At 47.6% G+C, this 20,757-nt stretch overlaps 1 protein-coding gene across 12 annotated transcripts in view, besides 3 other annotated features; it reads right to left on the bottom strand.

The window, feature by feature from the left end:
- The window catches only part of MSI2 (musashi RNA binding protein 2), a 445,731-nt gene that overhangs the window by 104,360 nt on the left and 320,614 nt on the right, over positions 1–20,757 (bottom strand). For all 12 annotated transcript variants that reach the window (NM_001322250.2, XM_047435313.1, XM_047435314.1 and 9 more), the window contains one exon: positions 272–354. In NM_001322250.2, the coding sequence (NP_001309179.1) occupies positions 272–354 (83 nt within the window). The remainder of the gene's footprint in view (positions 1–271; positions 355–20,757) is intronic.
- Positions 8,703–9,232: an enhancer, noted in NCBI's record as "OCT4-NANOG hESC enhancer chr17:55665351-55665880 (GRCh37/hg19 assembly coordinates)". NCBI's record gives its function as "activates a minimal SCP1, AML or CMV promoter by ChIP-STARR-seq in naive and primed H9 embryonic stem cells {active_cell/tissue: H9 hESC(naive and primed)}" and the evidence as "EXISTENCE:reporter gene assay evidence [ECO:0000049][PMID:30033119]".
- Positions 17,266–17,766: an enhancer, noted in NCBI's record as "H3K4me1 hESC enhancer chr17:55656817-55657317 (GRCh37/hg19 assembly coordinates)". NCBI's record gives its function as "activates a minimal SCP1, AML or CMV promoter by ChIP-STARR-seq in naive H9 embryonic stem cells {active_cell/tissue: H9 hESC(naive)}" and the evidence as "EXISTENCE:reporter gene assay evidence [ECO:0000049][PMID:30033119]".
- Positions 17,767–18,267: an enhancer, noted in NCBI's record as "H3K4me1 hESC enhancer chr17:55656316-55656816 (GRCh37/hg19 assembly coordinates)". NCBI's record gives its function as "activates a minimal SCP1, AML or CMV promoter by ChIP-STARR-seq in naive H9 embryonic stem cells {active_cell/tissue: H9 hESC(naive)}" and the evidence as "EXISTENCE:reporter gene assay evidence [ECO:0000049][PMID:30033119]".

Here is a 20,757-nt window from a genome sequence, read left to right as displayed (position 1 = left end):
TTGCCTATGGACGCTACCCAGCAGAACTGGGTAGCTGCAGTCAGCTTTATGGCCTGCAAAGATGAAAATATTCACGACTTGGCCCTTTACAGAGTTTGTCCACCTCAGTATGAAACAACTGCTACTGTTCACAGGCCTGGACCCCGAGCATCTAGCCCCCTCCCCACCCCTGCCCACTCCAGCCTGATGATGGGCTGGACCAGTCTGCAAGACTGGGTGTGTACGTAGAGAAAGGGGGCATTCCATTTCAGCGCAACCCCTACACACTTACCATTTTATTATTGATTTCATGGAAATGAATCTCACAGACTTTCTCCACAACATCTTCATTCTCAAAAGTGACAAAGCCAAACCCTAAAGGAAAAGAGAGAGAAGAAAAAACAAAGAGAGGCGGGGTGAGTTCAGTTCTGGCAGGCCCAGGTTTTTCTCTGACGTCCTGAGGTCTTGACAGCCTCCTGGTCTGGGGGTAGGTAGGCGGATCCTTGGGAGGACCTTGAGGTTGGAGGCAATGATTTCTAATTTGTACTGAGCACCCTTCCGACAGCGAGGAAAAGTTAATGATTTCACCCACATGCAGCGGGCACTGTGTGGTTTACATTTGCCCCGAAGCAAACAAGAAATTTACTTGTCTGTTATTTACAAGGGTCAGAGCCCCGCGGCTCTGTGCACGGCAGCAGGCGGGTGGGCTAACCAGAGCCTCGTGGATCACTGCGGGGCCACGCTTGCCCTTTCCGCGAGCAGCCCTGGCCAGCCCTCGGGTCGGCCTCCAGACGGAGGTGGTTATTTGTCCTTTTCTTCCTGAATTACTTCCTCTAATACCTCATCAGGACATCCTGAGGCCTGGAAGAAACTATTAAAAGTTTCAGGCCTCTGTTCCGCGCAGGCATCCTTTTTATACTGCTGCTTCAAAAGCGCTCTGGATTTGGGGCAGTTTAAGACTGTTTGATGCCTGCTGTCAGCCCGTCAGCTATCCACTGTATGTACTCTGCTGGAGACCGGCTTTGCTAGACAAGCTGCACTGAAGAATTTTGGCAGGCGACTGCTGCTCAGTATCCTCAGTTCCTCTCCTACCCTCCTGCCCCTTTCTTTCTTCTCCTCCCGCCTCCGACAGCGTTTCCAGCATGTGGCCCCATCTGTGACCCCACTCAGTAAGTGCTGCTTTACCACATGGCCCCATGCAGGGTTGCACCCTCCTTGGATGGGATGCAGCTGCCACATGGTAGCGTTAACATGGCGAGGGAGCACAGGCCATGGGGGCAGACACACTGATGGGGAGACTGAGACCTGGCTTCCACTTCTCACTGTGCATCTACTTTATGTTTAATCTGGGGGAGCCCCTTGCCCTCTCTGAGCCTCAACTTTTGCATCTGCAAATGAAGGTGGTAGAACTGGACCCTGGGTTTCACACCTCCTGTCACAGCCCAAATCAGGATTCACAAGGCTGTCTGCTGCCATCTGAATGTTTGTGGCTGCCCCTTGCTGCCCCCCGACCCCCCACCCAGATTCATGTTGAAATCCAAACTCCCAATGTGATGGTATTAAGAGTTCAGGCCTCTGGGAGGTGATGAGTTCGTGAGGATGGGGCCCTCATAAATGGAATTAGTGCCCTTACAGAAAGACATTAGAAAGCTTGTTTTTTCTCTCTACCATGCGAGGATGCAACAGGAAGGCAGCTGTCTGTACACAGGAAGGGGGGCCCTCCCAGAAATGACCATGCTGGCACCCTGCTCTTAACTGCCAGCTTCCAGAACTGTGAGAAATAAACCGTTTTTCTTAGACCATGGTACTTCATTATAGCCGCCCCAGCTAAGACACTCTTCTCCCCAAAGGTATGAACCTGGCTGAACACTAAGCCAGACACACCAAGCAGGAAGACAAAAACTGAATGGCCAGACACACCAAGCAGGAAGACAAAAACTGAATGGCTGTTCTATCACAATTATATTATGATAATTGTGTTTCCAGTCAATGAGCAAAATACAGATGCTTCCTTTTCAAACTCTGTGTCTATTTTGGGTCCCTGCAACACAAGACGGAGAGGGAATTTCTCAGGTCCCTTCTGACTCTCATGCATCCAACTCTAACATCACCATCTTCCAAGGAACACCAGGAAACAGGGAGCTGATATGTGGAGCTCCTTTAGCATAGCTCCTGCAGGGACTAGCAGATTCTTCGGTATGAGAATAAAAAAGGCTACTATCTGCTCTCAAACCATTTCCAGTAAAACAGAGGGCTAGGACCACGAAACACAGCAATCGTGATCTTTATCATGTCATTTGCTACCACCACCCGCCAAATACTGGGCCAGTGCTCCCAGCATACACAGTCCAGCCTGTTGTAGATACATAAGGCAGCATCAGATGTACCATAAAGTGGACATGAGTGTCTGCTGGAGGGGCTCAAAGATGCCGAGTTTCTCCCAGTGTCACCCAGTAAAAGCTAGGTTCTCAGTTACCTCAGAGGCCTGAAGCAGACATCCGACAGGATACGTGGTTTGAAATGCTGTCCAACAAAAAAACCTTTCACCAGGTTTATACCCCCTACCCCCTAAACCAGGTCCTTTGAGAGAAAGCTGCTGGGAACGCTATCCTATTCCCTCTCTTTGGGCATCTCCTTCTCCTTGGCCCTTGGTCCCACTGATCATTGCAGAGCTGGAGAAGAGCCACACCGACACTTCCCCAAGCCACTTCTCTTTGGGCTTTGGGGTATTTGTTCCTCAAGCGCTCCTTTAAGCACTTTCAGTTTCCTGAGGGCATTCAGCTCACCCTACTGGGGTATGTCTCAGGAATCCTGGGTTGGGAGGAGCCTTAAAAACATCAGGTTAAAACTCCCACCCAGTCAAGGACCCCTGGAGCACTCAGCCAGGAACTTAATCTTTTTGGTTAATCCCCTTCCCCCAGCCCCACCCTCCTAGGGCCCAGATCCTAACTGGCCCCAGTAGAATGGATTAAGAGCCAGCACCCTCCCGCAATCCCACAGGGAGGGAGGGGTGGCACTGCGGAGGCCGCGGAAATTGGCCAGCGTGCCTTCAAGCCAGAGCGCCCTGCAAGAGGGTGATGCTGGGGTCTTGTCCTCTAAGGGTCCTCAGGACGGAACAGGGCCCCTAACACACACCAAGTGCTAAGTGAGTGACTGAATGAGCCATTTCTGCTCCTCCAGGGTCTGAGCATCTTGCTAATCCACTTGAGTCACTGCTTTGCCTCAAGACTGATTCCGCTCTTCCTTCTGCGTTTACCAGCTGCCACCTGTGCTAGGCACTGTGAAGGACGTGGAGATCAACAAGGCAATGGCCCTCTGCTTGCACAATTCACGAACAGGCACGAGTCAGAGGATCCCATGCAGGGACAGCGTCTCCCTCTCACCCCTCACTTCCAGCCTGTGGGGCACTCTGGGTCTCATCTGTCTTTGAAGGTCACCCCTCTGCCCCAGCCCCCACGCCCAGGCACCTTGCAAATAAAACAAGCCAGGATAGGCCAGTTTTTAGGGAACCTCACTGCTAATTAGGACAAGTGTAGCAGGTTGAATAGTGGCCCTCCAAACATACATCCATGTCCTAATCCCTGGAATTTATGAATGTGACCTTATTTGGAAAAAGAGCTTTTGCAAATGTAATTTAATTAAGAATCTTGAGAAGAGATTATCCTGGATTTAGGGTGGGCCCTAAATCCAACGACAGGTGTCCTTAAAAGACAAACAGGGGATATTTGAGACACAGAGAAAGAGAAGAAGGCCATGTGAAGACAGAGGTAGGCAGAGAATGGAGTGGTACTGCCACAAACCAGGAACACCTGGAGTCTTAAGAAGCTGGTTTTCCAGAAGGCAAGGAACGACTGTCCCCCAGAACCTCTTGGGGGAGTGCAGCGCTGGCTTCCAGAACTGTGAGACAAGAAGTTTCTGTTGTTTTAAGCCACGAAGTTTGTGGTAATTTGTTACGGCAGCCACAGAAAACTAATACAGCAAGGTTCTAGGTTTCAGCTGCCTCCATATCCCACACAGGGGGGCTGCACGCAACCTCCTCCCGCCAGGCCTGCTGACTTGGCCAATCATGCTGCTCTGGACTGAAGGCAGGAGAGAGTGGATGAATGAGAAAAACCCATCCTGGCTATGGGGAAAGAACATGAAGTCAGTGCCACCACTGAAGGGCACTGCCCCATGAGCCAGAGGACAGCCTAGTTTAAAGCCACCTTGCAGCTAAGCAAAGATCCACACTTGATCCTAGAATACAGGCCAGAGTAAAGTCAAGTCACCATGGCAGGCCATGGCTGAGTTCCCGGCCATGGAAGCTGCTTTCCTGCTGCAAACCAACTCCTTCCTGGTCCACTGCACAAATCACCTCCATACCCTGAATGGTAATTCAGGACTCTCTGATGCCCCAGTTTCCCACTCTGAGATGGGAAGAAAGGCAACTGAGGTAGGAGACAGGAATTAAAATGCAGACTGTTGCACCAGGAAGGGTCGGGGCAAGACTCAGGGCATCATCTCAAATTCTGACTCTGATATTCTCCCCGCTGGTCCTTTTCCTAACCCCACAGGACTCAAAATTCAAGTATCACAAAAATGATTTTCCTGATTAAAGGAGATAGCCCGGATTTCAAGCCTATGTACCCTGGATGCATAACAATTCAGCAATGTCAAGACTCATTTGCAGTGTTTTAAAGACCTATATCATTTCAACATCTCTGTCTGTTTGGCCCGAGCAGAGAAAACAAACTTGATTATGTCTAAAATATTTATTTATTCCATTTGGGGAAAGCAAAGAAGCAACAGAACACTTAATTATCAATAAGTGTTATTCCTTAACATATAATCATTTTTACTTCACAGATGCATTAGCATTTACAATGAATTAGTAACTTAGTGCTGAATAACCCCCAAAATGAATTAAAATGAGCAGAGGAGGACAAAAACAATGGGGTCAGAAATTTGGGATAGAGTGATGGGTGGGAAAAATCCTTTTGGCATCACAGTCTTCTTTTCTGAAATAAGTATTTTATTTTGGTAAAATATACGTAACATAAAATTAACCATCTTAGCCTTTTTTTTTTTTTTGGAGACAGAGTCTCGCTCTGTCACCCAGGTTGGAGTGCAGTGGCGCGATCTCGGCTCACTGCAACCTCCACTTCCCAGGCTCATGCGATTCTCCTGCCTCAGCCTCCCAAGTAGCTGGGACTACAGGTACACGCCACCGCACCCGGCTAATTTTGTATTTTTAGTAGAGACAGGGTTTCACCATGTTGGCCAGGCTGGTCTCGAGCTCCTGACCTCAGGTGATCCGCCTGCCTCAGCCTCCCAAAGTGCTGGGATTGAGCCAATGTGCTCGGCCATTGTAGCCATTTTTAATCACACAATTCAGTGGCATTAAGTACACTTAAAATGCTGTGCAGCCATCACCAGTATCCACCTCCTGACCTTTTCTGTACCCGTTAAATAACTCCCCATTTCCCCCTCCCCCAGCCCTAGTAACCTCTATTTTCCTTTTTTTTTTTTTTTTTGAGACAGGGTTTCAGTCCCTTGTCACTCAGGCTAGAGTAAAGTAGAACAATCTTGGCTCATTGCAGTCTTGATCTCCCAAGCTTAAGCAATCCTCTTATCTCAGGCTGTCAGGTAGCTGAGACTACAGGTGTGTGCCACCATGCCTGGCTAATTTTTTGTAATTTTTTTGTAGAGATGGGGTTTCACCATGTTACCCAGGCTGGTCTCGAAACTCCTGGGCTCAAGCGATCCTCCTGCCTCAGCCTCCCAAAGTGTTGGGATTACAGGCATGAGCCACCACACCGGCTTATATTTTACTTGTTATGACTATGAATTTTCTCATATAAGTGGCATCATACACTCTATGTCCTGTACTGTTGTGCCTGGCTTGTTTTATTTGACATATGTTTTTAAGGCATCATAGTCTTTTGAACAATCTACTGGATGTACAAGAGATTTGGGAGAGATGGAGGACAGGGAGTCATGATTATTTCCTTCTCATTGCCCTAGAAGAGGGCCCCACAGAGAATCAGAAATGGAGCCTCATGAAGGCCCATCAAACTGAGGTGTAGCAGCCAGGTAAAAGAGACACACAATTATCCTCACTCAGCAAGGGGCCAGATAACAAGCTATGTGCCCCAGAGACTCCCTTTGCCTCTCTGGACCTGTAAGAGATGCAGGCAGAAGCAGGGATCCTGCTCCAGGCCCTGACAGAGTGAGGATTCTAGTCTATGGCGAGTCTGTGAGGGCTGGCACTCCATCGGGGCCCTCTGGGTTACCCCTGTGAACATCCACTGCTCATCTCCCTTGGTCCTAAGAACCAGAGAACTCCTCCCTGGGTATTTAAACTCACTCAAGCCACCACCCAGGATGGAGAGGAGACCCAGGGACTGACAACTAGGGGAGGTGGGAGAAACAAAGGGCCAGAACTTGGGCAACAAGAGACTAGTTCACCAAAGAAACCCTTCTCACCTGGCATCAGCAAAGTGGCACCTGCCCCGCCTCTCCTAAAGCCCCCACCTTAACTGCACCCCACACTTCCAAGGGGCTCCAGTAGTCAGCAAAGCGGGGACAAAGAAGGTGGTGGGAAGGTTAACCCTAAACACCAGTGGTTTAAAAATGGATATTAATAGGGTAGCAGTTGACAGGGAGCATTTAAAAATGAAATTCTGGCATTCTCTTGAATGAAGCTATTATTAGAAACTAACAAGTAAGCACTATTTAAGAGATAAGCATTTAACAGTCAAACCTTTTCCCCCTCTTTTATCCAAATGAACAAAACTAAATATTCATCTGAATAATAAAAGCTACAAAAGACCACATACACAGAAGAAGAAGATCGAAATCTGAAAACGAGATACCTCAAAATTAAAATGACCTGCTCCAAACGCAGTCACTGAGGAACATCGACAGTTAACTTACAAGAGAATTTTTTTTTAGGTCAGAGAGAGAAAGATGGGAACAGCCTCCTCCTAGCCTCAAAAATAATTTTCTTCTCTTATCATATAGGTCAATGAACACTAATGGGCAATCATGTAGTATCTAATGCATCTTCAGTGAAAATCAATGCAAGTCATGAGTTAACATACTTGGTTAATGGAGAAAAAAAAATGAGGGAGGAAAAAACCCCAGATTGTCAAATTTATTCTGGGTATCCCATGAGAAATTTAAGGTATGTGTACTTAAGAATATTTATAACTCATGCAGCTTCCCTCTCTTGCTAATAACCTAGTATTTGGGGAAAGCAATATTCATGGGTTGCTTCCAGCACAAATGAATCCCTTGGGTGTGGGTGTGGGGAGCACTTTCTGGTTTGAAAATCCTTTTCATCCATCGTCCTACCTGGTCCCCAAGGCAACTCTGCGAGAGGCAGGGCAGGCTCTGCTACTGTCATTGTGCTCAAGTGCTCTGCACAGTTCAGTGACTCATCCATCGTGACATGGCCGCTAAACCAGAGGCAGGAACTGAACCCAGGAGTGGTACCCCAAGTTACTTTCACACTCCCCCCTACTTTTCTGGAGAAGACTGTCAGGGTCTTCTTTGGATCAGTAAGTGTTCAGGGATGGATTTGGTGGCCATATGGCTCAGAGAGCATGAGAGGGACCGGCCTGGCAAGGAGGCATGGTGGTGTGCTTGCATCGTCACAAGTCGAGCCCCAGTTGGCTGTGCGTCCATTGGCAACCCCACACCTCGGGCTGTCCCCAGCCCCAACGCGGAACGTTTCTAGGTCACCTCCATGAGCTATGGCAGGTTTGGCAAGTCAGCTGTCCTGCAACCCTAAACTTGGAAGGTCTGAGGCCCCACCTGGAAGTGCAGAAGCGATGAGTAGTGTGCACAGATGCATGGCAGGCATGGGGAGGTGGCATCACATGCCTTGGCTTTGCTCTAAGAAAAATATAACTCAGAAGATCAGTATGTTCCAAGAAAAAAAACAAGCTACCTTTTCAAAAGCAGCAGCATGTTTCTGATTACTGGCTGCCATGTTGGGAAATCACTGCACAATACTTTGGCTTCAGTGAGAGCCAATTGGAGTCGCCATTAGAGGTTCCTGGGCGTTTTCAGACACTAGGGATTGGGAAAGGGTGGGTGATGATCAGGCTGTGTGTGCTTTTACATCCGGGTGCCAATGTGGACTTTGTAAGGTGGGAAGGGCTAGGATTCCTTCCATTACAACTCGCATCTGCTTCCCAAAGGTGGTTATTGAGGATCAGTCCACATTCTAATAATAATGTTAAAAAGAGAAAGCTCATCTGCCGTCACTGAGCAGCCACTCTGTAACTCAATCTTCACCCCCAGCCCCACCCTGGGGAGTATGAATAGAAATGATTGTTCCCACTTCACAGACGAAGAACTGAGGCCCCAGTGGGACCCTGTGTTCTCTCCCCTGCAGCCCACCTTCTTCATATGAAGGCAGACTGTTCCATACTCATCAATTCCTACCTTGTCCAACAACTGCACCCCTGAACCCTGTCTCTGTCATGTTTCCCTGTAAGAACATCTATGAAATAGGCAAGAGCCCTCAGTTCTTACAATCCGGCAGACAGAGGGCAAGGAGAGAGTGGGGAAAGATATGGTCATCCACTCCAGCTCTATGTTGGCTTCCCCTGCACCCTGAAGTATGTGATTTCTTAAATATAAGAGCAGGGAAGGAGGCACTGAGGATTTTCAGAGATACACAGCAAAGAAGACCTTCACACAGAAAAACAGCTAGAGTATCTCCTAAGCCAGTCTAACCAGGATGAGCACAGCAGAGTGACTTCTCCGAACCTTTCCAGACCCCCAACCGCAGATGTACCTGAAGTAGGACTGGGATGCCAGACTTGATGCTAGAAGTTTCTTTGCAGCAAACTGGCTCTCAAATGAGTCAGCTGCCCTGGAGGGAGGGACAGAGAAGTGCTCACTTCCCTGGCCTTATTAAGAAGAAAGAAAAGGGGCAGGCACGCTGACCTGAGCTGTACACAGCACCCAGCCTCAGGGATGGTTAAGAACAAAGACTTCCAGGTCAGGAGGCCATCAGAGGCAGATACTTGAGACTGCCCTCCTGGTGGGCCAGTAAACAAGCCCGCGATGGATGCGAGGGGTCTGCTGGCATGCCCTCTTAGCACAGCCCTCCCTCCTCCCTGATATCCTTCTTCCTCCCTCCCCCCAAAATAAGCAGCCTCTCTTTGGGGTCCCTTCTGAACTGGCCCTCCTTCTCTGCCATGTCTCCGTCCCCTCTAGGGTGGCATCGCAGCCCCTCCACTGTGGCATCCTTCATGCACCTGCTTCCTCGTTTACACCAGTAGTTTGGCAGCTGGTTGCTGTAAACTATAATAAAATGCCTTTCCAGAAAATGAAGGAATGTGACCAGACACGCCAGACATCATGATATTAAAGCCGTGTCAATTAATTTCTCCCCCTGCTTGATAAACGAGCCCCATTCCATCTCTTAATAATGAGGAGAGAAACAAGAAAAGTTGACACTTAGTTTAATTTATTTTCTCAACTTGCCTGGTCATATTTCTTCCTGCCTTGCAGACCTGGCTGGGGCTGTGGGGAATTACAAGTGGCTCAAGCACAGGCAAGGCAGAGATCGGCGTGAGTCGACACGGGTCTTCTTTATTCCCCCACACGCTTAATCAGGAGGGGGAAAGCGACTTAGTGAGCCAGCTCACACCTGCGCCTCTGCAGCCACCTTTGGGGCTGGGGGGAGTTGGGTGGGGGGCGGGGAGTGATCTCAGGTGTGTGAGGAATCAGATAACAGAAATGGCACTATCAGATTTCCAATCTAGTTCCATGGAACTGCACAAGACTGCATTCCCTAAATTAATATTAAGCTACGTTGGCGGCATTTGCCAGAGGGGAGCCAATTTCTCAACTGGAAAGGTGCTCTTCTTTCCTTTTCAGCTCAGGGATGCGCTGGCCAACCCTTGACCTTGAAATGTGAGGAGAAACCTTCTAAAAGTCAGGCGCCAACCATGAACCAGCAAGTGTTTCATCAGGCTTTAGTTACAAAGAGTTTTTCCAATTGGCCACCATAACCTGGCGACCATTTATTTATGGATGCTCCTAGACAATATATCAAGGTGGGGCTGAGGGCCAAGTGTGCTCCTAGACCAATGCTTCTGGGTATGGTCCTGCAGCAGAATCTCTCATGGGGGAAGGGCTTGTCAAAAATGCAGATCCCTGGGCTCTGCCAGCTCCTAACATGGTCTCAGTGGGTGTTGCCCAGGAACTGCGTTTTTACCCAGGTCTCTGGTAATTCTGATGCTGACGCAAGCCTGACTCTGCCCTATGCTTCCCAATTCAAGACAAGCTAAGTGGAGACCATATGGTAAAAGAGAATCTAGAACTCTCCACAGGAAAGAGAATTTTGAGGAACTCTCTTACATGAAGTGGGAAACTTTTTTTTTTTTTTTTTAAGGAGATGGGGTTTTGCCACGTTGGCCAGGCTGCTCTCGAACTCCTGGCCTCAAGTGATCCTCCCATTTTGGCCTCCCCAAGGGGTGGGATCACAGGTATGAGCCACCATGCCCCTCAATAACGCTGTCTTTAAGAAGCCTCTGACATCCAAGGCAGACCAGGGAAAGACAAAGCTGTTTTCTCCCAGGTTCAGGCACCCATTCAGACTAAAGTGTAAATGACAGATCCTGCTTCTACTCCCAGAGGTATGGGCAGTTTGCCCGAATCAAATCCTTACGCGAAAGCAATTAAGTTCCACTTTAGAATTTCAAACAGGCATCAGGCACTAGGAGATTTTTTTTTTTTTAACTGATGGGGGCACCTCCCTGAGCTTGTGAAATTAGACAAATGTTTACAGAGCTGCATTTTATAAGGACAGACAGGGTGGGGGCATCCTAAAAAGAACCACCCAGGAGGGAAGAAAGGGAGGTTAGAAGGGAAAAGAGAGAGAGAGAGAGAGACCTCTAACCATCCTCAAACCATTTTTCTAAGAGAGAAATCTGTCATGAATACTGATAGTGTGATTTGAAAGTGCCTGCGGCTGCAGGGAAAGGGTGTCTCATCCCAGACTCCTGTTAACTGAGTGGGAAAAAGCACCTGTGATCCAGGCCAGACAACCCCAGCCTCATTTAATTCCGAGTGCGCTCTATAGCAGTGATTCTGTGAATGACACTTGTCAGGGCAGCAGATTAGTTCACAAACCTATTTTTTGTGCGTGGTGTTCCATCTTGGTCGGGAAAATAGTTCTTGGCGAGAGAGAAACATATTACTGCTGTTAAGTGCCAATATAAACTCTGGGACGCAGTGGTAAATTCACCAAATTAAATCGCTAGACAACTGGCTCAGATCAGGACCCCAGCAGAAGGTGCCAGGACTGCAGCTCGCGCCCAGCGGGGCAGAGGAGGCTGAGGTCGTGTGCGCAGCTGGAGCAAGGGCACGAGGACGTGCCGCCTCCGCATCTGCTCTGGAAACCACAGAGCCCGGGGCGGCTTTGGCGAGCTCCAACTGCGGGAGCATGGCCTTCAAGGATTCTCAACTCAGGGCTTTCTGAGCTCAGGGGAGATGGGGTATCAGCTGGAAGTTCTTCCCTCTGGAGGTGGGTTTTTGGGTTGGTACCCCCAGCTACTCCACTGAAGAGTGGGTTTCAAATTTGTCACCTTCTCTCACGTTCATCCTCCAGCCTCATCCATGCAGCGAGCAACACACAAGCTAAGAGGGAGTTTCAATCTACTTAATGTCCCCACTGAGGTGGGTGGAAAAGGGCTTAGACTTTGGAGCTGGGTAGATCTGGGCTTAAATCCTGGCTCTAGCACAACTGGCTGCATGACTCTGAGCAGGTTATTCAACCACTCTGACCCTTGGTATCCTCCTCTGTGAGACAAATGATCCACCTCACCAGTCAGGATTGCTTAAAAACACCTGCACTTCTGAGAAGATAGCTAGCCCCTCCTATCAGTCAAACTAGCCTTGTTATTTCTCCCCTAGCCCAATCTCTATCTCCACACATGCTTACTTTTGTCTCTGTATATAGCCTCACTTGTTAAAATCCACTTGACATGTCTGTAAGGCAGATGTTCATGGTGCTTTACCAACTATCATGATGGGATAAGATTCAGGACAGGGAGAGGTAAAACAAGTCATGCAGTGAATTCCTAGGTCACCTTGTTACTTTTAAAAGACCCTAAGAGGGCTGGGCGTGGTGGTGGCTCATGCTTGTAATCCTAGCACTTTGGGAGGCCAAGACAGGTGGATCACTTGAGGTCAGGAGTTCAAGACCAGCCTGGCCAACATGGTGAAACCCCGTCTCTACTAAAAATACAAAAACGAGCCAGGAGTGGTGGCGCATGACTGTAATCCCAGCTACTCAGGAGGCTGAGTAGAATCACTTTAACCTGGGAGGCGAAGGTTGCAGTGAGCCGCGATCATGCCAATGCATTCTAGCCTGGGTGACAGAGCGAGACCCCAACTCAAAAAAAGACCCTAAGGTGCATCCATTTAGGTTAAAAAAAAAAAAAAACCCAAATCATCCATTAATCTTTGAGTGTCGCACCTGGCTGTGCAGGGTGCGGGCATGCTGGCCCCCCGCCCTGGTGCACTCAGCTTCCCCAGCAGCCTTCTTAAGATGCTCACTCGCCTTTCTCCAACAAGTTCTCAAGGAATGGTTACCAGCCGCAGATAAGGTTCCAAAACTCCATCAAGAAACCACTACTTGGAGCAGGTTTTCAGCGCTGCCACAAATTATATGACTTTTATTATGAGGTATGGTTTCAGACCAGTCCCACTGACAGAGCCCTGGCTGGGTGCCCACTGCTCCCTCCGCGCCCCCCACAGGGGGGTCATTCCTGCCAGCATCTCCATGACCCCACCCGGCTACACTGCCAGCAAACCTGCCTGGAGTCTGCGGGCAGGCAGATGACCATCGGGTGCCTCTGATGAGTGGTTTGCAAGAGACACACATACTTAAATTCACCAGGGGGTGGGGTCTGGCCTATTTTATTATATTCTTCCAGCTGTTAAGGAACTGTTCTTAACATCTGGAAGCCAGATTTCTCTGAGAAGCTGTGACCAGCAGCCCAGGCAGCTGGATTGGCGTGGCGGCTCTGCCAGGAGGGAGCGGAGACTGCTCCCTGACTCTTCAGCAAAGGCCTGGGATAGTGACAGGGAGGAATGAGGTGAGGAGGCTACTGCGGACAGGGGGCAGCACAGTCTGGAGCTCATTATTTAGGGTGTTCTACCAATCAGCACATCCACACCACCAGGGAGCTGGTTGGAAATGCAGTCTCAGGCCCCACCCTGGACCCACTGAACCTGAATCTGCATTTTAACAGGTGATTTTATGCAAATTAAAATGTAAGATGCATCAGTCTAGAACACTGCTTCTCAGTAGTGAGTCTTACATCAGAGCCACTCAGGGAAAAATTTCAAAATGCTGATGTCCAGGTCCCATCCTCAGAATTGAGTTAGGGGTAGCACCCCAGCATCTGTATGTTTTAAAATCTCCCAAGTGATTCAGTTAGGGTTAAGAAACTTTGGGAGGTTGGGTTTGGTGGCTCATGTCTGTGATCCCAGCACTTTGGGAGGCCAAGGCAGGCAGATTGCTCTAGCTCAGAAGTTTGAGACCAGCCTGGGGAACACAGTGAAACCACATCTCTACAAAAAATGAAATAAAATAAATTAGCCTGACGTCGTGGCACGTGCCTGTGGTCTCAGCTACTTGGGAAGCTTGAGCTCAGGAGGTCAAGGCTGCAGTAAGCTAAGATCATGCCACTGCGGCCTGGACAACAGAGTGAGACCCTGTCTCAAAAAAAAAAAAAAAAAAAGAAACATTGGGAGAAGGAAAAAAGTATAATGCCTAATGCCTAATTTTTGTCACCTGGAAATAATTCCAGCTTCACTAACATTTATCATATGACTGAATAATCCCAGTGCCTTCACATGTCCTTATGTCAGCAAGACACTTGTCCTTATAAGCCACTAAAGGAAAAGAGGAAATGTTTCCATGAGGGTGGGGCTCCTCATTTACTCACCTGAGCACAGCTGGTACCTTGTGCTGTTTACAGGTAACCAGTAAATGGAGGTATAGATTATGCGATCTGGCTTTAAGAAAACCAACCCTTACAAAGTAGGTAACTGCAAAGAAAACATGGATTGGAGATAATACTAATGATACAAGCACATGCCACAAAAGTAAATGGTCAGCCAACCCTTTCCATACCCTTAGGCAAGACACCTAACCAGCCACATCACACCCCCAAAAACATATCTTGATCAGATGGGACAAGTTGCAGCCAAGTGAATGAGGAAGAACCTGATTTTCAACAGAAACTGGTACCGTAGAGAAAGTGCTTTGAAAACAAATGTTTGGAAAATATTTCTATTGTTTAGTGTTTTTGTTGCTAAAAATGATGTAACTAGGTCATCTACAAAAGCTCTCATATCTGCAGACTTTTAAAATCCGGAAACAGAACTGTAAAGATTCATTTGAAAAAAAACATGAACATTTCAGTGGATTTTGAACCCATTTGTTAAAAATATAAAAATGCAACACTTGATTAGTTTGCATGAAAAACTGATTGACATCAGGGAAGATGGAAATTTACAAGCTGAATTTCAACAAAATCCTTTGCATAATTGGAGGATGGGGTTGAAAAATTAGTATCATGATTTAGCCAGCACAGTGAATCGTGCTTCCTCCGCTGGGATCTGTTTATCTTGTGAGGTGTATTTTTCAGTTATGCCAGGCATTAAAACCAAGTATCAAAATAAACTAAACTTAGAATCCAACCTTTAGAGTTGGATCATGAAGTGTTAAATCAAGAATTCTTTTTTAAAACCAGCATATTCAATCATATTGCTCTCTAAAGTAATAAAAATATTACTTTAATTATTAATAAATAAAATTCTTAATGTATCCTATTATAGTCCTATTTGTATAGGTTTTATAATATACATGAATATTAACATAGCGGTACATGCATATAAATTAAAAATCAGGTAAGATATATTGGGGGGCGGCATGCTAATTTTTTTTTCTGCACAATTAAAAAATTTTGGAGACTCTCTAGGAGAAGGTGAGATGGTACATCATGGACTCTGGTTCTGAAGTTGCCTCTTATTCACAGAGATTGCTAGAAGTCTGGAGGTAGGGTGGGAACAGGGACCTTCAGTGACTGCCAGCGGGTGTGGACCCCTCCCCACACCAAGAAGGGATCTTTGCATGAGAAATTCACGGGAGTCAAGAATCAGCCAATTTCAGGATCTCCTGGGTCCTCCTGACTGAGCAGCACACAGTGCTGAGAGGCATTGGGGAGGTTCACTCTTCAAACTGAGATGCTTGTCTCCTGCATGTTAACGGCAGCCATACCTGAACTCGTCTCAATAAATTTTTCATAGCATCGTATCTTCATTAAAATTTTATTCTATTAGCATTCTGAATACAAACCACTAAGTATATAATTGCTAAAACATGTGTTAAGCGACGACTTACGAAATGCTGGTTTTATCATATTGTTAATTAACAGAAAGTAGGATTAATACATTCACAGATCATTAGGAGCATTTGGTTCAATTTCACCAGCTCTTCAGCAGGGTGGGGACAGTTGTCAGTGGGCAGCCCTGGGGATCTGGAGCAAGAACACAAGTGTTCTTCGGGGTTCACCCTCAGCCCCTCTACATGTTCTAAGACTGTGTCTGGGAGAAACTCACGAGACAGCGACTCAAGGTCTCTTTTTCCTAAAGAAAATTGTTCTCAGATGTCACTCAGTGTAGCCTACTCAAAAGAACCTACATGGAAGGGTTTGGGTGGGGAGGAGGAGAAAGCAACACACTCTTTTAAGACAGATGAGTGAAATTCCATGGACTGGGAGGATTTGAATCTTGGATCCGAGGACATCGTAGAAATCCTGGTTGTTTACTAGCTGTGTGATGTGGGGCAAGCCATCAACCTCCCTGATCCTATGTCCCCACCTATAAAGTAGGAATAAAGATGCTGACTTCAGCTGGGTGCAGTGGCTCACACCTGTAATCCCAGAACTTTGGGAAGTGGAGGCTGGGGAATCACCTGAGGCCAGGAGTTCAAGACCAGCCTGGCCAACATGGTGAAACCCCATCTCTACTAAAAATACAAAAATTAGCCAGGCGTGGTGGCACACGCCTGTAGTTCCAGCTACTTGGGAGGCTGAGGCAGGAGAATCGCTTGAACCTGGGAGGTGGAGGTTGCAGTGAGCAGAGATCGTGCCACTGCACTCCAGCCTGGGTGACAAAGCGAGACTGTGTCTCAAAAAAAAAAAAAAAAAAAAAAAAAAGATGCTGACCTCATGGGGCTGGCATGGGGATTAAATGAGATAATGCTAGTTCTGGTTATGCCTGCACAAGTCTGTTGTTTTTATATAAAGATTTTATACCCAATATTGCTTGGAATGAGTGGGCTACCAGCTGAGACTTGAAAATACTTTAGCTATCAATAAATGTTGACTGCGGTGATAAGAGCTTTAGCAGAGCCACCTCTGAGGTACCAAAGCTGAGCGATTTGGAAGTGTATTTGAACTCACCTAGTTGTCGTCTCCAGTGCAAACTGGTCACAAGATTCCTAGGCCAGAGGGGTTTATTGAAGCCTCTTCCCAGCCTGTCCCAGGAATTACAGGGGTATCCAGGCATGAAATGGACTAAATGTCTTCTCTTTTCCCAGCCATCCAAATTGCTTTAGCCTGGCCTGATGGTGGCACTCCCAATTTTTCACGCTTACTAATGAAGCCGTCCACCTGGCAGGGCAGCTAGCAAGACCAGCACTGGAAGCCAGGACTGGAAGAGCCACAGAATGCCGGGGTGGAAGGAAGGGGCCAGGCCTAAGTGGAGGGTGTGGGGGGCAGGCCTCACCCGGGGTTTCCTGTAGGCTGGGGGCCAAGGCAAGCCCTGAAGTCAAATGCCAGGGGTCAAGGTAAAGCCAGGGTCAGAAACACAAAAGCAGTCAGTCAGGAGATGCAAACAGATGCTGCCTCAGCCTTCATCGATAAACTTTGGTTTGGTGGGGGCAGGAGCCCTTCCCAGAGGAGGAAGATGAGTTCTGAACCAAGGCAAACTGTTAGGATATGATGATAAATGGGTTCACCCTGCTAGAGCTGGACAGAAAAATCAGTGCTAAGGGAAAACCCCAGGAATAATGAAGGCAGATCAGCCCCTGCTAGGCCCAAGTGGGAACAGAGAGGAGACAGCTGGTCACCTGGTTCTATTTTTTTTTTTTTTCTGGAACATTCTTTCAAGGCCCTAGGTACCCAGTAATGTAAAGGTTTCCAGTTTCCTGTGGTGAGGCCTTCTGAACATGTGGGTTATTATTTGTGGACTATGAATGGAAAGAGCCTCTGGATTTGTAGAAAAGGTTGTAAGTGGAAGGAGCCTGGGCTTTGGGTTCAGACATGGGTTGTAATCTCTGTTCCACAACTGATTGGCTGTGTCTCAGCTTTCTCATCCTTCAAATAGGGACAGCAGCATTATAGGGTTATAGAGGATTTAAGGAGAGAGTACACCGAAGCCTGGCACAGTTCCTAGCCCCCATCAGATGCTGAAGCACTCACGCCTCTCTAGAGGACCATTCTCATTACTTATATTGACTTGCTGTCATGACTTAATAATTTGGCCCTGTAGGATGTGGGTTCCAGAAGACGGCTGCCTCCAAGGGGCGGCTGCTCAGGGTCCTTGCGTTTACAGCAACATCTTCCCATTGACCAAATGGGGACAAAGAGGGCTGGAGATTAACTGAGAGGTGACTGTCTAGGGGAGAGGGGTCCTCAGATGTCCTGATGGCTGGCACAAGGCGGCCCTTGACTGGAGGCAGATGCGTCTGCCACTCAGAGCAGGCCACAGGGCACACCTTGAGGCCAGGCAAGGAGGCAAGACCTGGGTCTCCAACGGGAGCCACCGCCTCTCCCACCACCCAGCATGGGGGCCAGATCATCCCTGCGTCCTCCAGAGAAGGCAACCGAGCGACAGCAGAGCTTTCCCCAACTTGAAAATCACCGAGCACAGATAGCCATGTTACGGCCATTCTGCCACTTGGCCACAGAGACCAGTAACTTCAATTTATTTGTGTCTGGGGCCTTAAGGAACCTCAGCTGTCATCCTTTCCTTAGTTTATTACCAAATTTCTAAAATATTACATCCTTTATTATATCCAAATTCACTTTATTGCACTTGACAATACAGATAATCACATACCATATGCTCTAATGTTTTGAAACCAATGCATGTTGACAGCGGTTTTTATTCATGATGCATAATTCCATCCCCAGCTCACAATGAGGCATCTGAGCACCCAGCCTGGTGTTAAGACTTTTGCCTAATAACAGATTAACAATACAGCAAGTTTCCGAGACACACTCCCTCCCATGCCATTTTCTGTTTACAATGGGAAAAATGTACCTGGGCTGAAAAGATGGGCTTATCAAAGAGGAGGGGGAAAAAGAAAAACAACCCCGCATCATCACACACCCACCAGTCCCAGAGGGTTTATAATGATTTGTTACTGTTCCACGCTTATGAAACTTGATATTGAAAAGAGGAATTGGTTTTGCGCCAAGTAGCAAGGCAACTAATCACACCAACCCACACTGCTGGCCCCTGAGAATGGAAAGCACAAACTGCCCCAAAGCTCTCATTAGGAGTCTCTCTTGTTTTTACTCCTGTTTTGCTAGAAGCAAGTATTTGTCACTCCTCTACCTTGGTGAGACCATCCTTCTCCCGTCCCCTTCCCCTCATCCCCTGGGCATTCTTCTGTTCCCAATTAGCCCCAAGCTTCCTGGCGAAATGAATACAGCTGGGGATGCATCCTACCCCCCCAGTCCTGGCACCTCTCAAGCAGAAAGGCAAGGCCAGTAGGAACTGTCTTTGCAGCTCCTTCAGCGGCAGAGCCCCTTGTTCTGCGGGGTGGCTGAAGAGAAAGGGTGGATAATTTAAAGATGATCCCCTAGCTTTGCTGTAGTGCCCAGAACAAACAATGCCATTTCATACGTCCCCTAACTAAGCACTTTCATTTGCTTCAGAGAAGCACTCAAACAACTGTAAACCCATTAGATCATGTCAAACGTGGTGGGAAAGAGCTTGGGCTGTCACCAGCAGAGAATCAACTCAGATTTATAGATTCTTAAAGCTTTAATATATAGATATTTGTCTTCCCCCTGCAGATAGACAAGGGGACCAGGGCAGGGGCGGAGGAGGCAAGAAGAACGGCCCACAGCTCAGCGGCAGACAGATTGGAGTTTCACAATCATTCTCCCGGATAATGGGATTTCTCAACAAGGGGAGGAGCGGGGAGGAAGAAAAGCGAAGCCTTCACTTTGCTGAACACTTGGCTGTTTTTCCAAAGCTTTGCTTGCGGGTGGTGTGGGGGAGGAAAGAGATGTTATTATCAACAATGCCTCTGGAGTACCCAGTGACCTGCCGTGAACAAAAGCAAGTGGCGACCAAAGAAGGGCTGGAGTCCGAGGACGCAGAAACACTTACTCAGCCACCTACAAAGGAGGCCAAATGAATTAAGAGGCATCTTACTCCAAGTAATTGCTGTGCTTCTGAACAGCTTAAGTTATAACCTTTTTTCATAAATAAGAACCTACTTTCCCTTTGGGCTTACATCATGACTCCAAGAAAAGCTTTCTCTTTATTTCTTAATCATCTTCAGCAAGTAGGGGGCTCTTCCTACTACCTCAAAGGGTTTGGAATTTTCTTTTTAATTTTTTTCATTTTATCCTTTTCTCTTGCTTGTCTATCATCTACTGAGCATGGCAGTAAATAACTGGTAATTAAACCAATATCTACTGGAGACCAGGGCTTAAAGATATAATTTTATACAGAATCCTCCTGAAATATTACCAGTTGGGCTCTATGGGTCTGGAAATGGGACGGTTTGGACCAGGCTGGACTTTCATAATGCAGGACCCACCAGTGGTTTGCAAAGTGGTCCCTGGCCCCATCTTGCTGCCTCATCAATTCTAGTCTCTGAATATTTCTGGGGAAAGGGGCATCACCCCTCGGTACTTCATAAACACAGCTTGTTTGAGTTGGGCATCTTGAGGTGTTGCTAAATTCTTCAGCCCAAGGATCAGCCTTTCTCTTGGTAACTTCACAAACGGCCACTCATGGTTGGGGAAGCAGCCTGGCCCCCCTCCCAGGGGTAGTCCTTCAAGATCTAACGTAGCCACCTCATTTCTCCTTATTCGAGTCTCCTTGGTTCCTCTGGAATTTTTCCCGTAATACTGTCCTGGTCCCCATCAGACGACCTCCTCTGATGTGGTCTATCTTGTCAATGCCCCTCTTAAAATAAATGCCTGGAATGGAATATTCCACATGGGGTCTGAGCAGTGCAACCAAATACCGGACTGGACTTCCCTTTGTGGTGGCGTCCTTAGCAGCTCCATCACCTGTTGCCTCAAAGAAAACTTAACAGTCAACTAAAAAAACCCCAGGCTTCCTATAAACCATGTCAAAATCTCGCCCTGCCCAACCTTCCTTTTTTTTTTTCTTTAAAATTAGACATCGATTATAGTCATTTTTTTTTTTTTTTTTTTAAAGACAGATTCTCGCTCTGTCACCCAGGCTGGAGGGCAGTGGCGCATCTCAGCTCACTGTAACCTCCACCTCCAAGTTTCAAGCGATTCTTGTGCCTCAGACTCCCAAGTAGCTGGGATTACAGGCATGCACCACCGTGCCACTAATGTTTGTATTTTTAGTAGAGACAGGGTTTTACCATATTGGCCAGGGTGGTCTCAAACGCCTGACCTCAGGTGATCCACCTGCCTCGGCCTCCCAAAGTGCTGGGATTACAAGTGTGGGCCACTGCACCCAGCCAACATGGAT

This window comes from Homo sapiens, chromosome 17 (genome assembly GCF_000001405.40).
Source record: "Homo sapiens chromosome 17, GRCh38.p14 Primary Assembly".
Taxonomy (NCBI): Eukaryota; Metazoa; Chordata; class Mammalia; order Primates; family Hominidae; genus Homo; species Homo sapiens.
Note: the sequence above shows the minus strand (reverse complement) of the source record. Positions and strands in the feature narration are given on the sequence as shown.